The sequence below is a fragment of the Homo sapiens genome, chromosome 15 (genome assembly GCF_000001405.40).
Source record: "Homo sapiens chromosome 15, GRCh38.p14 Primary Assembly".
NCBI lineage: Eukaryota > Metazoa > Chordata > Mammalia > Primates > Hominidae > Homo > Homo sapiens.
This window is the reverse complement of record NC_000015.10, coordinates 42,370,481-42,388,764: the sequence shown is the minus strand read 5'-3', so window position 1 is coordinate 42,388,764 and position 18,284 is coordinate 42,370,481. Positions and strand designations below refer to the sequence as shown.

General features: G+C 43.2%; 1 protein-coding gene and 1 long non-coding RNA gene across 4 annotated transcripts in view, besides 3 other annotated features; one reads left to right on the top strand and one right to left on the bottom strand.

Annotated features, from left to right (window-relative positions):
- Positions 1 to 18,284, bottom strand: part of CAPN3 (calpain 3) — a 52,817-nt gene that overhangs the window by 23,553 nt on the left and 10,980 nt on the right. For all 3 annotated transcript variants that reach the window (NM_000070.3, NM_024344.2, NM_173087.2), the window contains exons 2-4: positions 4,213 to 4,282; positions 2,480 to 2,598; positions 879 to 1,012 (exon numbers count right to left, since the gene is read on the bottom strand). In NM_000070.3, the coding sequence (NP_000061.1) occupies positions 879 to 1,012; positions 2,480 to 2,598; positions 4,213 to 4,282 (323 nt within the window). The remainder of the gene's footprint in view (positions 1 to 878; positions 1,013 to 2,479; positions 2,599 to 4,212; positions 4,283 to 18,284) is intronic.
- Positions 2,030 to 3,229: an enhancer, noted in NCBI's record as "BRD4-independent group 4 enhancer chr15:42677734-42678933 (GRCh37/hg19 assembly coordinates)". NCBI's record gives its function as "activates an origin of replication core promoter dependent on BRD2, P300/CBP, MED14 and CDK7 cofactors, and independent of BRD4, by STARR-seq in HCT116 cells {active_cell/tissue: HCT116}" and the evidence as "EXISTENCE:reporter gene assay evidence [ECO:0000049][PMID:35650434]".
- Positions 2,734 to 4,218, top strand: LOC105370794 (uncharacterized). The gene is made up of 3 exons (XR_932178.3): positions 2,734 to 2,799; positions 2,946 to 3,062; positions 3,608 to 4,218. It is a non-coding gene; the product is annotated as an uncharacterized LOC105370794 (long non-coding RNA).
- Positions 3,724 to 4,279: an enhancer, noted in NCBI's record as "OCT4-NANOG-H3K27ac hESC enhancer chr15:42676684-42677239 (GRCh37/hg19 assembly coordinates)". NCBI's record gives its function as "activates a minimal SCP1, AML or CMV promoter by ChIP-STARR-seq in naive and primed H9 embryonic stem cells {active_cell/tissue: H9 hESC(naive and primed)}" and the evidence as "EXISTENCE:reporter gene assay evidence [ECO:0000049][PMID:30033119]".
- Positions 3,855 to 4,037: a silencer, noted in NCBI's record as "fragment chr15:42676926-42677108 (GRCh37/hg19 assembly coordinates)". NCBI's record gives its function as "represses an EF-1alpha promoter that drives an FKBP-Casp9 reporter gene in an ReSE screen in HepG2 liver carcinoma cells {active_cell/tissue: HepG2}" and the evidence as "EXISTENCE:reporter gene assay evidence [ECO:0000049][PMID:32094911]".

Below are 18,284 nucleotides of genomic sequence, written 5' to 3'. Positions count from 1 at the left end.
TCATAATGAAGAAACTGAGCTCAAGAGGCTAAGTGACCCACCCAAGACCACAGAGAGCCAGAAGCACTGGGATTGAAACCCAGCTATCCCCACTTCCTGAGAGCTCTTTCCACTACATCCTGAACGTTGAGGAAGGGCTGCATTAAAGCCATTAGCAGCTGCCGGTGTGGTGGCTCACACCGGCAATCCCAGCGCTTCGGGAGGCCAAGGCTGGTGGATTGCATGAGCCCAAGAGTTCGAGACCAGTCTGGGCAACATGGCAAAACCCCGTCTCTACAAAAAAATACAAAAATTAACTGGGCATGGTGATGCCCGCATGTAGTCCCAGCTACTTGGGAGGCTGAGGTGGGAGGAGCACCTTGAACCCAGGAGGTCAATGCTGCAGTGAGCCGTGACTGCACCACTGCACTCCAGCCTGCATTACAGAGTGAGACCTTGTTTCAAAAAAATTTAAAAAATCCATTATTAGCATCTGGGGTGGAGCTTTTAAGTTGAGAGACAACATGGCTTTATAAATCTGCTATAAGCACATGAGGTTGAGCCAAGCGAGACCCTGGGATCTGAGCTCCAGAGATACAATGCTCTGATCCAAGACTTGCAATGCCACCATGGAGGTGCAATGAAAGAACTCGCTATGGTAAGCTAAAGCTAAAGGTCTTCTATGCAAATCTTCATTTCTACTCTTAAATTTAATGTTTTTAGTTAGAGCTGTTGTTGCCTGGAACTGATCTCTAACTTTGGGTCACAGTTGGACTTGCATGCCCACACATATGCACGTATAGAGGCACATGCCTCTTCCTGTGAGTGAGGTCTCGGCTGGATTTTGCAACCCACTTTCTCACCTCTAGCCCCACCTCACATTCTAAAGTGTTGCTTACTTAGCATAAGCCTTCTCCAGCAGAGCACTCCAGAACTCATTGCGGTGGTTGGACTTGGTGAAAACCAGTTGATTGTTGTACGTTGGCAGGCAGTCATCTATAACCACGTCCACCCACTCTCCATAGCGCCAGAACTGCACAGAAGCGTCACGCACAGAGTCACATACTCAAATTACTGTTAGGAAATGTGTCCTTCCTCCACATTCCTCAGGGGGTTCTTGAATCCCAAAGCAGCATCATTTCCTGGACTCTGCATCTGGGTGCCTGTTCATCCTATTTTGTGTTTGGGGTGTGTAAATCTGTCTCTAACTGGACTGGGTGCTTTTTGAGAGCTGGAAGTGAGTTACATATACTTCATGTCTTCCACAGAGTCCAGCCCAGTAATGGGTAGAGTAGGTGCTCCATGAGTGTCTTAGGATGTAAGATTTTCATTCTCCTGCTCAGCAGGTCTGGGGCAGGGCCTGGGTGTCAGCACTCTCAGGTGCCCCCAGCTGATTCAATGTGGCCAGGATTGGGAACTATGCAGTGAAGGCACTGTGCTGATTTAGGTATTTCTTGATGCCAAACTGAAGAACAAGGATTGAAACGGAGGAACAAAGTGACCCAGAATCTATTCTAGCTGTAGCAGGAACATTGTTCAATCATTTCAAGTTTGGATGTCGCTCTTTTTTGAATGAATCAGTTTGAACTGAAAAGGGCCAAATGTGGTTTAGTCTCCTTTTCAATGGCACTTTCTCCCTCATTGAAATGAGAACAGAAATCTATCTGATATTTGTATGTAAGGCCCTTTAGATCTGAGACCCTTTAAATATGCCATGTTCCCAAGGCGGCAGGAGGGGGAGTCTGAGCCTGGAGACAGACCTTTTCTGAGGCCTTCCGTGCTGAGGTGCAAGACCCGGGGAGCAAGAACTGATAATGTGGGTCATCCTGGGACATGAGGGAGCCTTTGAAGCTGGAGACAGGCTGACTCCCCAGCATCCCGGAAGCTACGAGACCCTCACAGGTAGAATTCAGTTTGGTTCTGCTCTAGCACCAGCTCTATGCCAAGGTGACTGGGACCCAGAAAATTTCCAGTAGCTGGATGGATTCTAGAACCATCAGATTCAGTTCTAGGGCAAACAAGAAGCCTGATCCCCAGGTTAAGCAGACTCTTCTTCCAGGGCTTGGAAGAGAGGAGTGATAGCCTTGGTACCGCCATGCCTTAGAGAGGAAGAAGTATACAGGAGCCCTGGACAGGGGTTCCTGTACAACCTGAAGGGTCCTGTGGTGTCACAGTGCTAATATCTTAGGGACCTACTTGAGAAGGGCTGCAGGCAATAAAAGCAGCCAGACAGCTGCAAAGACAAAAATAGACCCACAGTAAACAGGATGTCTTCCTGTCTTTCTGGGACATAGTGGAAGGTGGTGGGGGAGGGATTAGGGAGCCAGAGATAAGCAACTGCTTCCTCCCAGGCTTGAAGCCTTAAGGGGGTCCATGCCGACTGTTGCCGCTGCGGGTAGATGGGTGGGAAGTTTCCTCCAGCTTCTGGGAAGTCAAGGCCAGGAGACCAGCGGTGGGTGGCCTGCCGCTGGCCCTCTTAACTACACTCTCATTACCTCACCTGGAAGTGGAAGATCCCTGCGTAGTTTTCGATGAAACTTTGATCATGGGGTATGACTCGGAAAAGAAGGTGCTGGTTCAGGGTCAGGCAGGCAATGGCTGCGAGAAACCAGCAGTCCCCTGCAGGCAGACACAGGGCACAGATCGTGAGCACTCCTGCTCCTCCTGGGAAGAAAAAGCCCCAATCCCAGCCAGCCACTCCACTTCCCTGAACGGGGACTCCCTTGGTGCCCACTCTCCTACTTCCAGATCTGACCTTACAGAGGTGTCAACCCAGGGAAGGAGAATTGGACAGGAATTCCTTGACAATATGATCAACAGGTAACTTACTCCCTTGTGACTAGACATTTTCCTCAAGGCTGCAGGCAGTTCCTCCAACTGCAGTATAAACTCACTTCCTTTTTAGGCCTCAATGGAGACAGAGCAGTAGGTGATCATAACTGGGTTGTTCTTCCTAACACCTGTAGGAAATCTGCCCTGCCCTGTGCCTTTGCAATGTGAGTCCAATTCCTCTTCTGACTTCAGCGAAGACTGAGCCTCAGAGAACCATCCACCAAGATGATTTGTATTGGAAGGAAGGCCAGGTAGGCAGCTGCCCTGGAACCCGTCTATAGGGGGCAGTAAGACATTGCTGGCAACGGAATGAGCTCGGGACGTTTTCTTATTCTCTGAACCTCTTTTCTGACAGAGTACTGTATGTAGTTGGAGGTAACACTTTGCTCTCTTTCTCTCTCTCTCTCTCTCTCTCTCTCTCTGTGTGTGTATATATATATATAATAGGGGGTGTACCTGGTCACAGAGCTGCCTTCTAAGGAGGATGGGTTAAGTGAAATGCAACTGAGAGTGTGCAGGGGAGACTGAGAGCTGCCTGCAGCCACTCTCCCCTACCCTCCTTGGAAGCAGCCAGTCTTTCCTTGGAAAGAGGTTATTGGTTTGAAGGTCCCAGATTATTATGCCCAGGGCTCTGCAGGAAGCCTTCCCTCAGGTGCAGGAACCCAGATATTCATCTGATTTATTCTCAGCCTCCCCTTCTGGAATGAAATAAGCCAAATTCCTTTGGTCTTAGGTGCCCCCTTTTCCTCAAATTTAAATTGTTTCTGTTGGTGTTCTCTCCAATTTTACTTCACAGAGCTTGCTTATAGTCCACACCAAAGACAATACTTTCTGAACAAGAGGTCGAGAGAGAGGAAGATCAGATGGAGCAGTCAAGCTAACCAATCAAAGAGAAAATTGGATGCTCATCCACATGGCGGATGCCATCTTTGTGGAAAGACTCTTTTAAGATGGAGCTATGCTGGGGCAATTTAAACAAGGGTTCCAGTTACAAGTGCTTTCCTTGGCGATGCCTTTTGTGTGTGTATCTAGAATCTCCATGCCCAAGGGGCATGCTTGGTGCACAGTCACAGAGCTGTCTTCCAAGAAAGACGATACAGTGAAAAGCAGGGCTTTTGTCATGCTGAGTGGGGTATGTAAGTGTCCTTGAGATACTGGAGAGGAGGCCACAGGATGCAGATACCCCCTGTGATGCATGGCAGAGTGCTAAAGAGGCATGTAGGAGGAAATGAAGCAATCGCCAGCATGTAGATAAACGACCATAAAGCAACTGTTATAAAAAATCTTCCAAAAAGTTACTGGAAGCAAGCACAGATTGTCCCTTTACCTCCTGGAAGGGGATCACACCTTGTAATCACCCCTTGATCATCTGGCAGGATCTGACCTGAGGCACTTTCCTACCTAGCTCTCCTTGACAGATGTCAGTTCTGTTGGCTCCATCAATGATAAATCGGGGATTCTCGCAAATTTCCTGTGAAACAAAAAGGAAATGACCAGGTAAGAATAACAGTAGATAGACAGATAGATAGATAGGTATTTTTTTGAGACGGAGTCTCACTCTGTCGCCAGGCTGCAGTGCACTGGTGCAATCTTGGCTCACTGAAACCTCTGCCTCCGGGGTTCAAGTGATTCTCCTGCCTCAGCCTCTCGAGTAGCTGGGACTATAGGCATGCGCCACCATGCCCAGCTAATTTTTGTATCTTTAGTAGAGATACGGTTTCACCATGTTGGCCAGGATGGTCTCCATCTCTTGACCTTGTGATCCACCCGCCTCGGCCTCCCAAAGTGCTGGGATTACAGATGTGAGCCACCGCGCCCGGCCGCAGTAGCTATTATTTATTGAGTTCCATTATGTAGTGTTCCTGATAGTATTCCATTTGGCCCTGTGAAGGGAATACTATCATTGTTATTTTTCAGATAAGGAAACTGAGGCCCAGAGAGGTTAAGAAACTCGTGCAAAGACACACAGCTAGTAAGTAGCAGAAGCCAGAAACATGCCTCCTTTTTACATTGTCCCATGCTGCTTCCCACACTGTCATACTATTCGAGTAAGGATGCAACTTGAGAGTTAGGGCAGTGTCGGCTGGGCGTGGTGGCTCACACCTGTAATCTCAGCACTTTGGGAGGCCAAGGCGGGTGGATCACTTGAGGTCAGGAGTTCAAGACCAGCCTGGCCAACATAGTGAAACCCTGTCTCTACTAAAAATACAAAAATTAGCCAGGCGTGGTGACAGGTAATCTCAGCTACTTGGGAGGCTGAGACAGGAGAATCAAAATAATAATAATAATAATAAATTAATAAAAATAAATAAAATATAGATTCAGTGTTTTGTATTGTTTTTGAGACAGAGTCTCACTGTGTCGCCAGGCTGGAGTGCAGTGGGCGACACAGGCTGGAGTACAGTGGCGCGATCTCGGCTCACTGCAAACTCTGCCTCCCAGGTTCAAGCAATTTTCCTGTCTCAGCCTCCCGAGTAGCTGGGACTACAGATGTGTGCCACCATGGGTGGTTTCCATATTCTTAGTAGAGAGAGATGAGGTTTCGCCATGTTGGCCAGGCTGGTCTCGAACTCCTGACCTCAAGTGATCTGCCAGCCTTGGCCTCCCAAAGTGCTGGGATTACAGGCGTGAGCCACCGCGCCAGGCTAGTGATCTGGTTTTAGCCCCATTCTTCTCAGCTTCATGGAGTCTTGGCATTCCTGTGACACAGTTCAAACAGGGTCTCTCTCTCCACCTTCCCCCAACCCCCATCACAACAACCCAATATACCCAAGTGAGCTGAAGCTCCTGCACTCAGGGGTGTATACTCCTAGTAGATGGAAAGTCTTGCTTATGCTACACCCCACAGCATGCGTCCCATCTGCAACTCTGAGTGGAATGGAAGGATAAACCAAAACAATCGTTTTCAAAAACGTTTACCTATATGGGGAGGGAAGGAATAAGGTGGTAGAAATAGGGATGGAAGTAGAACTCTGAATATAACTGTTTAAAAATAGTTTTGACTTAGGAATCATGTAAAGTTTTAAATAATTAAGAGCCAAAATTAAAGAAAAAATTATTTTAAAAAGCCATCTGTAAAAGCTGAAAGCAAACCGAAGCAAAGGGACCTAACTGCATAACCATTCACAGAAAAATAATTACTTCAAGTCACTTAAAATGTAACATTTTGGCTGTCTATCCCTTTTGGAATATATCCTAAGGACAAAAACCAAAACCATAAAGAAATATGAACCTTGAATGTTATGAAGATACTAAGAAATATGAACCATAAGAAATAATAATATTGTCCAGGTGTGGTGGCCTACACCTGTAATCCCAGCACTTTGAGAGGCCAAGGTGGGAGGATCATTTGAGGCCAGGAGTTCGAGACCAGTCTGGGCAACATAGTGAGACCCCGTCTCTACAAAGATTAAAAGGATTAGTTGGACATGGTGGCGCATGCCTATAGTCCCAGCTACTTGGGAGGCTGAGGTGAGAGAATCGCTTGAACCTGGGAGGCAGAGATTGCCGTGAGCCAAGATTGCACCACTGCATTCCAGCCTGGGCGACAGAGTGAGGCTCTGTCTCAAAAAAACAAAAACAAAAACAAAAAACCCCACTATAATTTGAAAATATTTTTCCTTAAATAAAAACACATATTTAATACTACATATTGATTGAAAGGGCAAATTGAATATTGACCCAGAATGACCAACATGAATATACATTCTAGAAAATTACTGGGATTCAAAGAAAAAAAAAAACATTGTTTGGACATCTAGGGAGAAAGAACAAGTGACTTTTAAGGGGAAAACATTAGATTATTATCAGACTTTCCAGTAGCAAGGCCTTTTTATGCCAGAAGAAATTGGAGCAGTATATTTAAGATGCTCAAGGAAAGAAAATGTGAACCAAGGATGTATATACAATATGACTTCCTTTATTCATTTCAAGAATAAGGGATGTGGGCAAACTTTTCTAATACATAAGAATTCAGGGAATATTGTTCCCACGAGCTCTTCCTGAGGAATATACTAGAGAATAACCTTCAGACAACCAGGTATAGAAGGACACTAACATAAGGACTGAGAATAAGTAGTCAGTATTTCGTTATTTGTAGATTTAAAATTACATGATGGCCGGGTGCAATGACTCACACCTGTAATCACAGCATTTTGGGAGGCTGAGGTGGGCGGATCACGAGGCCAGGAGTTCGAGACCAGCCTGGCCAACATGACGAAACCTCGTCTCTACTAAAAATACAAAAATTAGCCAGGCATGGTGGCTCATGCCTGTAGTCCCAGCTACTCGGGAGGCTGAGGCAGGAGAATTGCTTGAGCCTGAAGGCAGAGGTTGCAGTGAGCCAAGATCGCACCACTGCACTCCAGCTTGGGCGACAGAGTGAGACTCTGTCTCAGAAAAAACAAAAACCCAACAAAGTACCTGATGATTAAAGGGAGGATGTAAAGTATGTAATATATTGCCTATAGTGTTCGGGCAATGAACAACTATTTAAAACCATTTTAAATCAAAGGAGAAAGAAGAAAGCCTATGGAAAGACTGTAAACTGTTTTCAGGAATTATTTTGGTAGTGATATTATTAATATTGTTATTCTGCAGCTTAATCAGACAAACAAAAGTAGAGGAAATTCATTGCCAGCAGACCTGCCATGCAAGAAATGTTAAAAGAAGTTCTTTAGGGAGAAGAAAAATGATACAGGTCAGGAACTTGGACCCACATAAAGAAAGGAAGAGCACTGGAGAGGAAATAAATAAATGAAGATAAAATAAAATCTTGATTTTAAATTCTTAATCTAAAGGGTAACTTAGTTAAATCATAATAAAAACAATGTATTGGGCAATTATAGCATACAGATAAGAGAAACAAATGACAGTAATGTCATAAGCAAAGAAAGGAAGGAAATGGTAATACTTTGTTCTCTGTTATAAAGTACCTAGAGTACAAACTAAATGGTATAGTGTTATTTGAGGGTGGACTTGGTTGAAAACGTATACTGGAAACTCTAGCATGACCACTAGAATTGAAAAAATAAATATAATTGATACACCAAGAGAGGAGATAAGGCCGGGTGCCGTGGTTCACACCTGTAATCCCAGCACTTTGGGAGGCCAAGGTGGGCAGACTGCTTAAGCTCAGGAGTTTGAGGCCAGCCTGGGCAACATGGCAAAACCCCATCTTTACAAAAAAAAAAAAAAAAAAAATATATATATATATATATATATATGGGGAAGGTGGGGGGAGAGACCCCGTTTGAACTGTGTCACAGGAATGCCAAGACTCCATGAAGCTGAGAAGAATGGGGCCATATATATATATATACACACACATATACATACATATATATATACACATACATATATATACATACACACATACACACACACCCACACACACATACAAACATATTAGTTTGGCATTGTGGCATGCACCTGTAGTCCCAGCTACTCAGGAGGCTGAGATAGGAGGATTGCTTGAGCTCAAGAGGCAGAGGTTGCAGTGAGCCAAGATCATACCACTGCACTCCAGCCTGGGTGACAGAAGCCAGACCCTGTCTCAAAAAAAAAAAAAAAAAAAAAAAAAAAAAGACAAAAAAGAAGAGGTAAAAGGATAAAATAGGATAAAATATAAAACTTTCAGTTAAATCAGAGAAGCCAGAAAAAGGGGCAGGGACAAGAACAAATGCAATAAATGGAAATCAGTTATAAACATGTAGGTAGTAATCTAACTATATTATAATCACTTACATGTGAATGATCAAAATACACCAATTAAAAGACAAAGGCTGTGAAAGTGGATAAAAACAAGACTCGACTATATGTTGTCTGCAAGAAACCCACTTTATTTATTTTTTTGAGACAGAGTTTCGCTCTTGTCGCCCAGGCTGGAATGCAATGGCACAGTCTCCGCCTCTCGGTTTCAAGCAATTCTCCCATCTCAGCATCCTGAGTAGCTGCGATTACAAGCATGCACCATCATGCTCGGCTAATTTTGTATTTTTAGTAGAGATGGGGTTTCACCATGTTGGCCAGGCTGGTCTCAAACTCCTGACCTCAGGTGATGTGCTCGCCTTGGCCTCCCAAAGTGCTGGGATTACAGGCGTGAGCCACCATGCCTGGCCAAGAAACCCACTTTAAATATAAAAACTCATAGATAAAGAAGGATATATCATGCTAACAATAATCAAAAGAAAGTTGGAGTTGTATTAATTTCAGAAACTGCAGACTTCAGAACAAGGACAATTATCAGAGATAAGGAGAGGCATTACATATAGATGAAAAGGTCAATTGGTCAATTTTCCAAGAAGACATACAATCTTAAATGTGTGTGCACCTAACAACAGTGTCAAAATACATGAGGCAAAGAGTGATAGAACTGAAAGGAGAAATAGACAAATCCAGTATTATAGTTGGTGATGTCAACACTCTCTTTCAGTAATTATAGATCAAGCAGGCAGGCAGAAAAGCAATAAGGATATTGTTGACCTGAACAACACTATCAACCAACTGGATCAAATTGACATTAATAGAATTCTACATCCAACAATAGCAGAACAAACCATTTTCTCAAATTCATAGGTAACAAGTCAGTAAGACAGAACACATTCTGAGCCATAAAACACACCTTAACCAATTTTTTTTTTTTGAGACAGAGTCCCTCTCTGTCACCCAGGCTGGAGTGCAGTGGTGCGATCTTGGCTCACTGCAACCTCTACCTCCCGGTTCAAGCGATTTTCCTGCCTCAGCCTCCTGAGTAGCTGGGATTACAGATGCATGCCACCATGCCTGGCTAATTTTTGTATTTTTAGTAGAGACGGAGTTTCATCATGTTGGTCAGGCTGGTCTCGAACTCCTGACCTCATGATCCACCTGCTTCAGCTTCCCAAAGTGCTAGGATTATAGGGGTGCGCCACTGCGTCCGGCAACCAATTTAAAAGAATAGAAAGCCTACAGTGTCTTCACAGACCACAGTGGAATGATACTCGAAATCAATAACAAAAAGATAGTTGAAAAATCCCAAATTATTTGGAAACCAAACAACACAGTTCTAAATAACACAAGGGTCAAAGAAGAAATTTCAAAAGAACTTACAAAATGTTTTTAACTAAGTGAAAATAAAAATATAACATCAAAATTTGTGGGATGCAACAAAAGCAGTGTTTAAAGGGAAAGTTATAGCATTAAATGCATAAGTTAGAAAAGAAAGAAAAGAAAAATCAATAAGCAATATTCCATCTTAGTACACTATAGAAGAGATACTTAAGCCTAAAGCAAGCAGAAGAAAAGAAACAATAAAAAATCAGAGCAGAAATGAATGAAATAAAAAACAAGAAAACAATAGAAAGTCAATGAAAACAAAAATGGTTCTTTGGAAAGATCAATAGAATTGATAAACCTTTAGCCATGCTAAACAAGAAAAATGAAAACACAAATTACTAATATTAAAAATGAAGGAGAGGTTATCACTTTTGGGAGTTCAGTCAGGCTGGTGGCAAAAATTTTAAGATGAATTTATAGGATATAAACACAAACCCTCTTGGAAGGCCTAGAGGTTTGCATAAAGTGTTTGGCTGAAGGCAGCCGAATCCACTTAATAGCTTAGGGCACAGATACATAGGAATGTAGAGGAGTTTATCTAAAGAGCTTGTTTACTCATGTGGTCCTAAAACTAACTTTTGATCACTCACGGCAGGATAGCTCCCCCCGGGGTGGGGGCAACCAGATTAATTACCCACAGGTGTGTTGACTCAAAGCCTTTGTCATTAAAACTGTGCTAAATAAATGCCCACAGGGCTAGCTAGTCAGGGCCGTGGCTGCTGACTCTTCACAGCACCTTCCTTAGTATCTGTGAGCGGCTTGGACCCCTAGCTGCTCTTTCACTAAATATTGGTGTCTTGGTATGTTATTCATCCGTCGCACGAGCTGGGGTCTGCAGGACAGACTCCTGCAATCACTACTGAACTTTTGGACATTAAAGGGATAATAAGGGAATATATGGACAGCTCCATGCTCACAAATTTGATAACAGGTGAAACTGACAAATTTCTTGAATGACAAAAGCTACCAAAATTCATTCGAGGATTAGATAATCTGAATAGCACTATACCTATCAAGAATATTGAGTCAATAATTAATAACCCTCCAAAAAAGAAGGCACCAGAACCAGATGGTTTCACTAATGAATTCTACCAAATATTCAAGGAAGAAATAATATGAATTTTCCACAATATCTTCCATAAAATAGAAGCAGAGGGAACACTTCCTAACTCATTCTATCAGGCCAGCATTATCCTAATATGCAAGCCAGTAAAAGATACTCTAATAAAGGAAAACTACAGACCAATATCTGTTATGAACATAGAAGCAAAATCCTCAACAAAATATGAGCAACTCAAATACAACAATGTATAAACAGACACCATGACCAAGTGGGATTTATTTGAGGTACAAGGTTTGTTCAACATTCAAAAATCAATTAATGTAATTTACCACATCAACAGGCTAAGAAAAGCAATTATATAACCATATTAATTGATGGAGAAAATGCCCTTGACAAAATCTGACACCCATTCATGATTTAAAAAAACCTCTCAGCTAACTAGGAAGAGAGGAGAATGTCCTCAACTTGGTAACGATCATCCACTTTCAAAAATAATAACAGCTAACTTCATACTTAAGGGTGAGAAACTAGATGCTTTCCCCTTAAGACTAGGAACAAAGCAAGATGTCCTCCTGTACCACTCCTATTCAGTGTCCTACTGGAAGTCCTAGCTAATGCAACAAGATAAGAAAAAGAAATGAAAGATATAAATATTGGAAACAAAAAAAAAACTATCTTTATTTACAGATGACACAATTGTCTATGTAGAAAATTCCAAACAAATGACCCAAAAAAATCCACTGGGAACTAATAAGTGAGTATAGCTCAGTTGCAAGATTCCAAGTTAGTATATAAACACCAATTAGTTTTCTATATACCAGCAATGAACAACTGGAATTCGAAATTTAAAAATATTCCTTTTATATTAACACACTAAGCCAAGAAATATTTAGTTATGTCAGTGTGAACTCATGTTTAGCTTAGTATAGATACAAATGGCTTTATATAGAAATATTTACAGATATGTGAGATGGTTATACATAGAAATATTATAGATATGTGTATACAGCTGGCTTAGTACACACACATATCTCCTTTCTCTACAAGCTGAGAGGAACAGAAGCAATCACACTCCGGTAGCAATGAGCAGACTTAGCAACCAGATCTTGATATCTAATACCTTTTTCAATAAAAGAAACCAGTGCTCCTTGGAGAAATGACTGATTCTAGGATTGGGGCAGGAGATACACATTATGAGCTGGTAGTGCCAGAAAGTAAGAAAGTGCTCAAGGAAAAAAAAAAAAACCCACAAACAATTAGGGTATGTTAAATAGACACAGGAGCCAACTGAGAGCTCCCAGTGAAGAAAGCTGGGACAACCTAAGCAACAAAATAAAGCAGTATTGGATTACGACTTAAAATAAAAATCAAGATCCATGAGTCCATATTGATATAAACAAGTGACTGAATAAATAAACAAATGGGGAGAATAGACAAAGCTCCCATGCAGAATGATTCCCAATAATTGATGCAGATTCTCTGCCCTCAAGAGGGCAGAGCACAATTCCCCCTTGCTTAAGTATGGGCTTATGCTTAGTGTCTTGCTTCCAGAGTATAGTATGAAAAGAGGGGAAGAAGTAACTTCACAGTAAAGAAACCTGACAAGCACTACTTCAGCCACATGACCAAGGTCAACACCACAATGAGAAGGCATGTTTATTGCCCGCATCCTTGATATATAATGTGACAAAAACGGCACTTTACCCTGTGGTCTTCCTCCCCCAAACCCTTAAGCCCATAAGGAGAAAAACCGCAGACAAATGCCAATTGAGGGTCATTATGTTACAGAATACCTGACGAGTACTCTTTAAAAAACTGTGAAGGTCATAAAACACCAGAGAAGGCAGAGATACTGTCACAGCCAAGAGAAGGCTAAGGAGACGTTACTACTAAATGTAATGTCATATCTTGGGTGGGATCTTGGAACAGAAAAAGGACATCAGACAAAAAACTAAGGAAAAGTATGGACTTCAGCTAATAATAATATATTAACACTGGCTAATTTAATTGTAGCAAATGTACTGTACTAATGCAAGATGTTGGTAATAGGAAGAAATGGCTGCAAGGTATATGAGAACTCTGTACCATCTTCACAATTTTTTCCTGTAAATCTAAAACCATTCTGAAATTTACAGTTTATTTAAAAAATAGATATAAATACTTCTAATAGTTTTTTCATCCACTCCAATGGATCATCTTGCAGATCTACTGGGCTGTATATGCCCTCCTCAGAGCCTACTGGTCTAGAGAGTTTCTTGCCTGCTCTAAATGCAGTGAACCCTTTTTGGAGCTCTGAGCCTCTCCAAGCAGGAAGAAGGGCCTTGTGCTACACACTCCCAAGCACTTTCACCCACTCAAGTTGACACAAGGGGCTTCTCGGTTGCGCCATAAGGTAGCCTGACACAAACTGCTTCATCCCGTAAGGAGTCTGGCTGCTCAGCACGGACCTTTCTGTTTAAACAGAAGCGACAGCACATGAATGAACAAGCCTTAGGTGAAAGATTAAGAAGGCAGGTCTCCATCCTTCCATTTCTTTACTGTTCACCACCTTCCACAGAACTCTCCCGGAAACTGTGAGCCTTAGTACTTCTAACCACTCTACTCTCCCACCCCAAAACACCTGCTCTGAAAAAGACACATGAGACCAGGTGAAATGGATCTTGCCTGTAGTCCCAGCACTTTGGGAGGCCTAGGCAAGAGGATTGCTTGAGCCGAGGGGTTTGAGACCAGCCTGGGCAACATAGTGAGGCCCCATCTCTATAAATAAATAAATAAATAAATAAATAAATAAATAAATAAATAAATAAATTTTTATTTAAACAAATAAAAATGTGGTGGCACATGCCTGGGGTCCCAGCTACTTGGAAGGCTGAGGTGTGAAGTGGGATCACTGTTTGGGCCTGGGGGGTTGAGGCTGCAGTGAGCTATAATCAAGCCACTGCACTCCAGCCTGGGTGACAGAGCAAGTCTCTCTCTCAAAAAAAAAAAAAAAAAAAAAAAAGAGACATGATATTCGATTACAATGCATTAGCTCCCTAAAAATATTTACGATTTCAGGGACCCATAAAGTATTATAATAATCTCTAGCTCAGGAATAGAAAATAACATCTCCAGTTTCAGGAAGGAGCAGAAAGGTATTTTGGATAAAGAGACCCTTGATAAGTCAATTGCCCAGAGGAGGGATCCATGGCCTCAGGCTCTGGATCACTTGGCTTCTTGTTCCCCAAGAGCTGGCTCCTGAAGTCCCATCCCCTCCATCCCTACCTTTGGCCTTTTCCATGTGATGGCCTAAATCTTGGTTTTGTGGCTCAGCTCATGGGAGGCCAGGGCCTGAACACCTGCTAGGAACACACAATCTTCAAAGAGGCACTTCTGGGCCAGACATCTTTGAGAACGACAAAATCCTGCCCCTCAAACTTGAGGGGCTGTGCGATGGTGCCCTCTCCATTTCTCCTGTCCCTCTCTTGGATCACACAGTCACAGAAGAATCCTGACAGCAGGTAGGGCATGGCGAATGCTCTGGGAGTAGAGCTGGGCCTTCCCTGCTGCCTCTTTCCCACTGCACCCTCAGTCCACGCCTAATCCTCTTGTGAATGGCCTGGAGCCTAATATAGCTCTTCCACCCTCAGCAGCACCATGCATGGTCAGAGTCAGCAGCTTTGACTGGAGGCCCCTGAGCCCGTGGTCTAGGGGCAACTCTGTGAGAGGGAGCCAGGGAGGGGAGAGAGAGTTCCAAGGACAGCCTCAGGACAGACCGCAGTGGTCTGAGGACCTTTAGGGAACCTTCATCACCCTTTGCTGGGATTCTTCCTCTAAAAAGAAAATATTACTATAGTTACAGAGAGGCTTACTTTGTCTCAGCAAAAGATGTTCATGCCTTTGACACTGGTGATCAAAGGGCTATAGCATGGGGCCTTCTGATATACTAATCCTATACAGGCTACTGAATGCATAGGAGGAATCTGCTCCATGCCATTGTTTGGGGGTAATGACGCCTTCACACTCCTGATGTCCCTGGCCCACCCCTCAAAGACCTTGACCAGTCATTTAGGGACTCTCATCTGTGAAAATGATGCAGAGGGTAGGTAACTTGACTGCAGATGGAAGTCCCTGTTAGAGTAGGTCCCAGTGGCAGTGAGCAGATATCCACTGTTGCAAATTCAGGACCTTTAGGGCAGAGAATGTGGTGGATGGGGAAAGCAGATGAATGTGTGTCATGTGGGAATTATATTCATAAGAAAGCCCAGCCTTTTCAACTTTCACTGTGCTTAAATAGGCAGCTCTAATGTAAGAGCAGGGAGCTGACATGGGAGGAAACTCAGGCCTGGCAGCTTGCCCGCTAGGAGGACACCCAGTCTCCCTGTCTGCTCATGAATGCCTGATGGCCTTTGTCTACTCTGTGCTTCTCAAAGTGTGATCTTTGAACTTCATGCATCAGAATCATCTGGTCTGCCAGTTGAAAATACAGATTCCCAGGGCCCATCCCAGACCTGAGGATTTGGTAGGGGTCTGGGACTCTGCATTTTGAATAGGCTCACCAGGAGAGTCTTATGTCCACTAAAGTTGAAAACCAATGACTTTACTTATTTATTTATTTATTTTTGAGATAGGGTCTTGCTCTGTCACCCAGGCTGGAGTGCGGTGGCATGATCTCGGCTCACTGCAACCTCCACCTCCTGGGTTCAAGCAATTCTCCCGCCTCAGCCTCCCAAATATCTGGGATTACAGGCACCCAGACACCACCATGCCTGGCTAATTTTTGTATTTTTAATAGAGATTGGGTTTCACCATATTGGCTAGGCTGGTCTTGAACTCCTGACCTCAGGTGATCTGCCCGTTTCAGCCTCCCAAAGTGCTGGGATTGCAGGTGTGAGCCACCGTGGCTGGTCGAAACCATGACTTTGGCATTACAGGGTAAATAATAGCTTAAAATAATTTTTTTGTTGTTGAGATGGAGTGTCCCTCTGTCACCCAAGCTGGAGTGCAGTGGCACGATCTCGGCTCACTGCAACCTCCGCCTCCTGGGTTCAACTGATTCTCCTGCCTCAGCCTCCCAAGTAGCTGGGATTACAGGCACCCACCATCACGCCTGGCTAATTTTTGTATTTTTAGTAGAGACGAGGTTTCACCATGTTGGCCAGGCTAGTCTTGAAGTCCTGACTTCAGGTAATCCGCCTGCTTCGGCCTCCCAAAGTGTTGGGATTACACGTGTGAGCCACCGCCTGGGTGAAAGAATGAGACCTTGACTCAAAAAAAACAACAAAAAAAGTGACTTTTGTTTAACCATTTTTGTTAAAAGATGCCTAGGAATAAATCTGACAAAAGATGTTCAAGGCAGGCTGGGCGCAGTGGTTCACACCTGTGATCCCAGCACTTTGGGAGGCCAAGGGTAGGGGGTCACCTGAGGTCAAGAGTTTGAGACTAGCCTGACCAACATGGTGAAATTCTGTCTTTACTAAAAATACAAAATTAGCCAGGCATTATGGTGCATGCCTATAATCCCAGCTACTTGGGAGGCTGAGGCAGGAGAATTGCTTGAACCTGGGAGGTGATGTTTGCAGTGAGCCGAGATTGCACCATTGTACTCCAGCCTGGGCAACAAGAACGAAACTCCATCTCAAAGAAAAAAAAATGTTAAAGATGTCACTGAGAAAATTATAAAACTTTTATTAAAAGACACCTATTTAAATGGAGAAACATCCCTGCTTCATGGATAGGAAGACTCAATATTGTCAAGATGTGTATTCTTCCCATATTGATTCAATGTAACTGCAATAAAAGTCCCAACAGCCTTTTTTTTTTTAATTTTTAAGATTTTTTTTTAATTTTTTTAAGATGGAGTCTTGCTCTGTCACCCAGGCTAGAGTGCAGTACTAGGATTTTGGCTCATTGCAACCTCTGTCTCCTGGGTTCAAGCGATTCTCCTGCCTCAGCCTCCCGAGTAGTTGGGATTACAGGCTCCCGCCACTATGTCCAGCTAATTTTTGTATTTTTAGTAGAGATGTGGTTTCAGCATATTGGCCGGGCTGGTCTCGAACTCCTGACCTCAGGTGATCTGCCCATCTCGGCCTCCCAAAGTGCTGGGATTACAGGTATGAGCCACCACGCCCAGCCTAAAAAAGTATTCTTGAGAGAGTGAAGAGGCAAGTCACAAGGTGGGAGAAGGTATCTGTAACACATCTAACCAAGAAAGGATTAGTATCCAGGATATATAAAGAATGCCTACAATTCAAATTGAAAAAGACAACTCAGTAGAAAAATCAGCAAAAGGCATTAGCAGGTGTTTCATGTACAGTGAAATACAGATGATCAAGGAACAGACAAGTGTACAAAAAAGATGCTTTGCCTTATTTATAATTAGGAAAATGCATCTTTTCTTGTATTTCTTGGCCATTTCTGTCCCAGCCCCTCTCATTGTCAGCATTAAACTGCTGAGTCACTTTAATTTGTTCACCATGATGTCTACAGCTCTGTCCCCATCATGACCCCCAGGAGGAGCTGCTGTCTTGTAGAATATAATAGAAGTTGCTCCTAAAAGTTACTTATATAATTGTCACTTTCACTGAAACATATGCACCTTCCCCATCCCCCCTACCCCCGTGATGACACTATCATGATTCTCTGCTGAGTAGACAGAAGGCTGGCTCTCAAATGGGTACCTCGTTTTGTCTTTCAGTTACTATCATCATTATTTATTGACTCATTGTATTATGTTATGTATAGAATCTCATTTAATCCTTACAACAACTCTATGAAAGTAGGAATTTTCATTTTCTTCTCACAGATGCAGAAACTGAGACCTCGGAATGGTCAATAATTTGCCTGAGGTCACATCGTTAATCGGTGGAGCTGGGATTTGAATGAAGTTTGCCTGACTTCAGAGCCTGTGCTCTGATGTTATGTGCTCTGATGTTATGAAGTCATAACATCATTGTGTTATGCTCCTACCCTTTGCTGCCTATGCTAATAGTAATTGCTACCTTACCTTGCACACCTACTAGGACGCTGAATGCCACTCAAAACAGCCCTATGATGGGAATATCCTTATCCTCATTACAGAAGAGAAAAGCGAAACTTAAAAAATGTGACTTACTTATGTGACTTGCTAGTGGCCGAGTCAGTGTTCAGACCGGGTCTGTTTGGTTCTAACTCTAGCTGTTTTATCCACTCTGCACAATGCCCCCAGTTCTTCCTCTCTGTGGCTAGGACAGTGACCTCACTTCTCTGTAAACTGTCTGACAGAAGGTAACACTCTTAAAGCAGATCACAAGCAGACCACTCGCTGAGCCAGCTTCATTGGAAAGATATATAATTT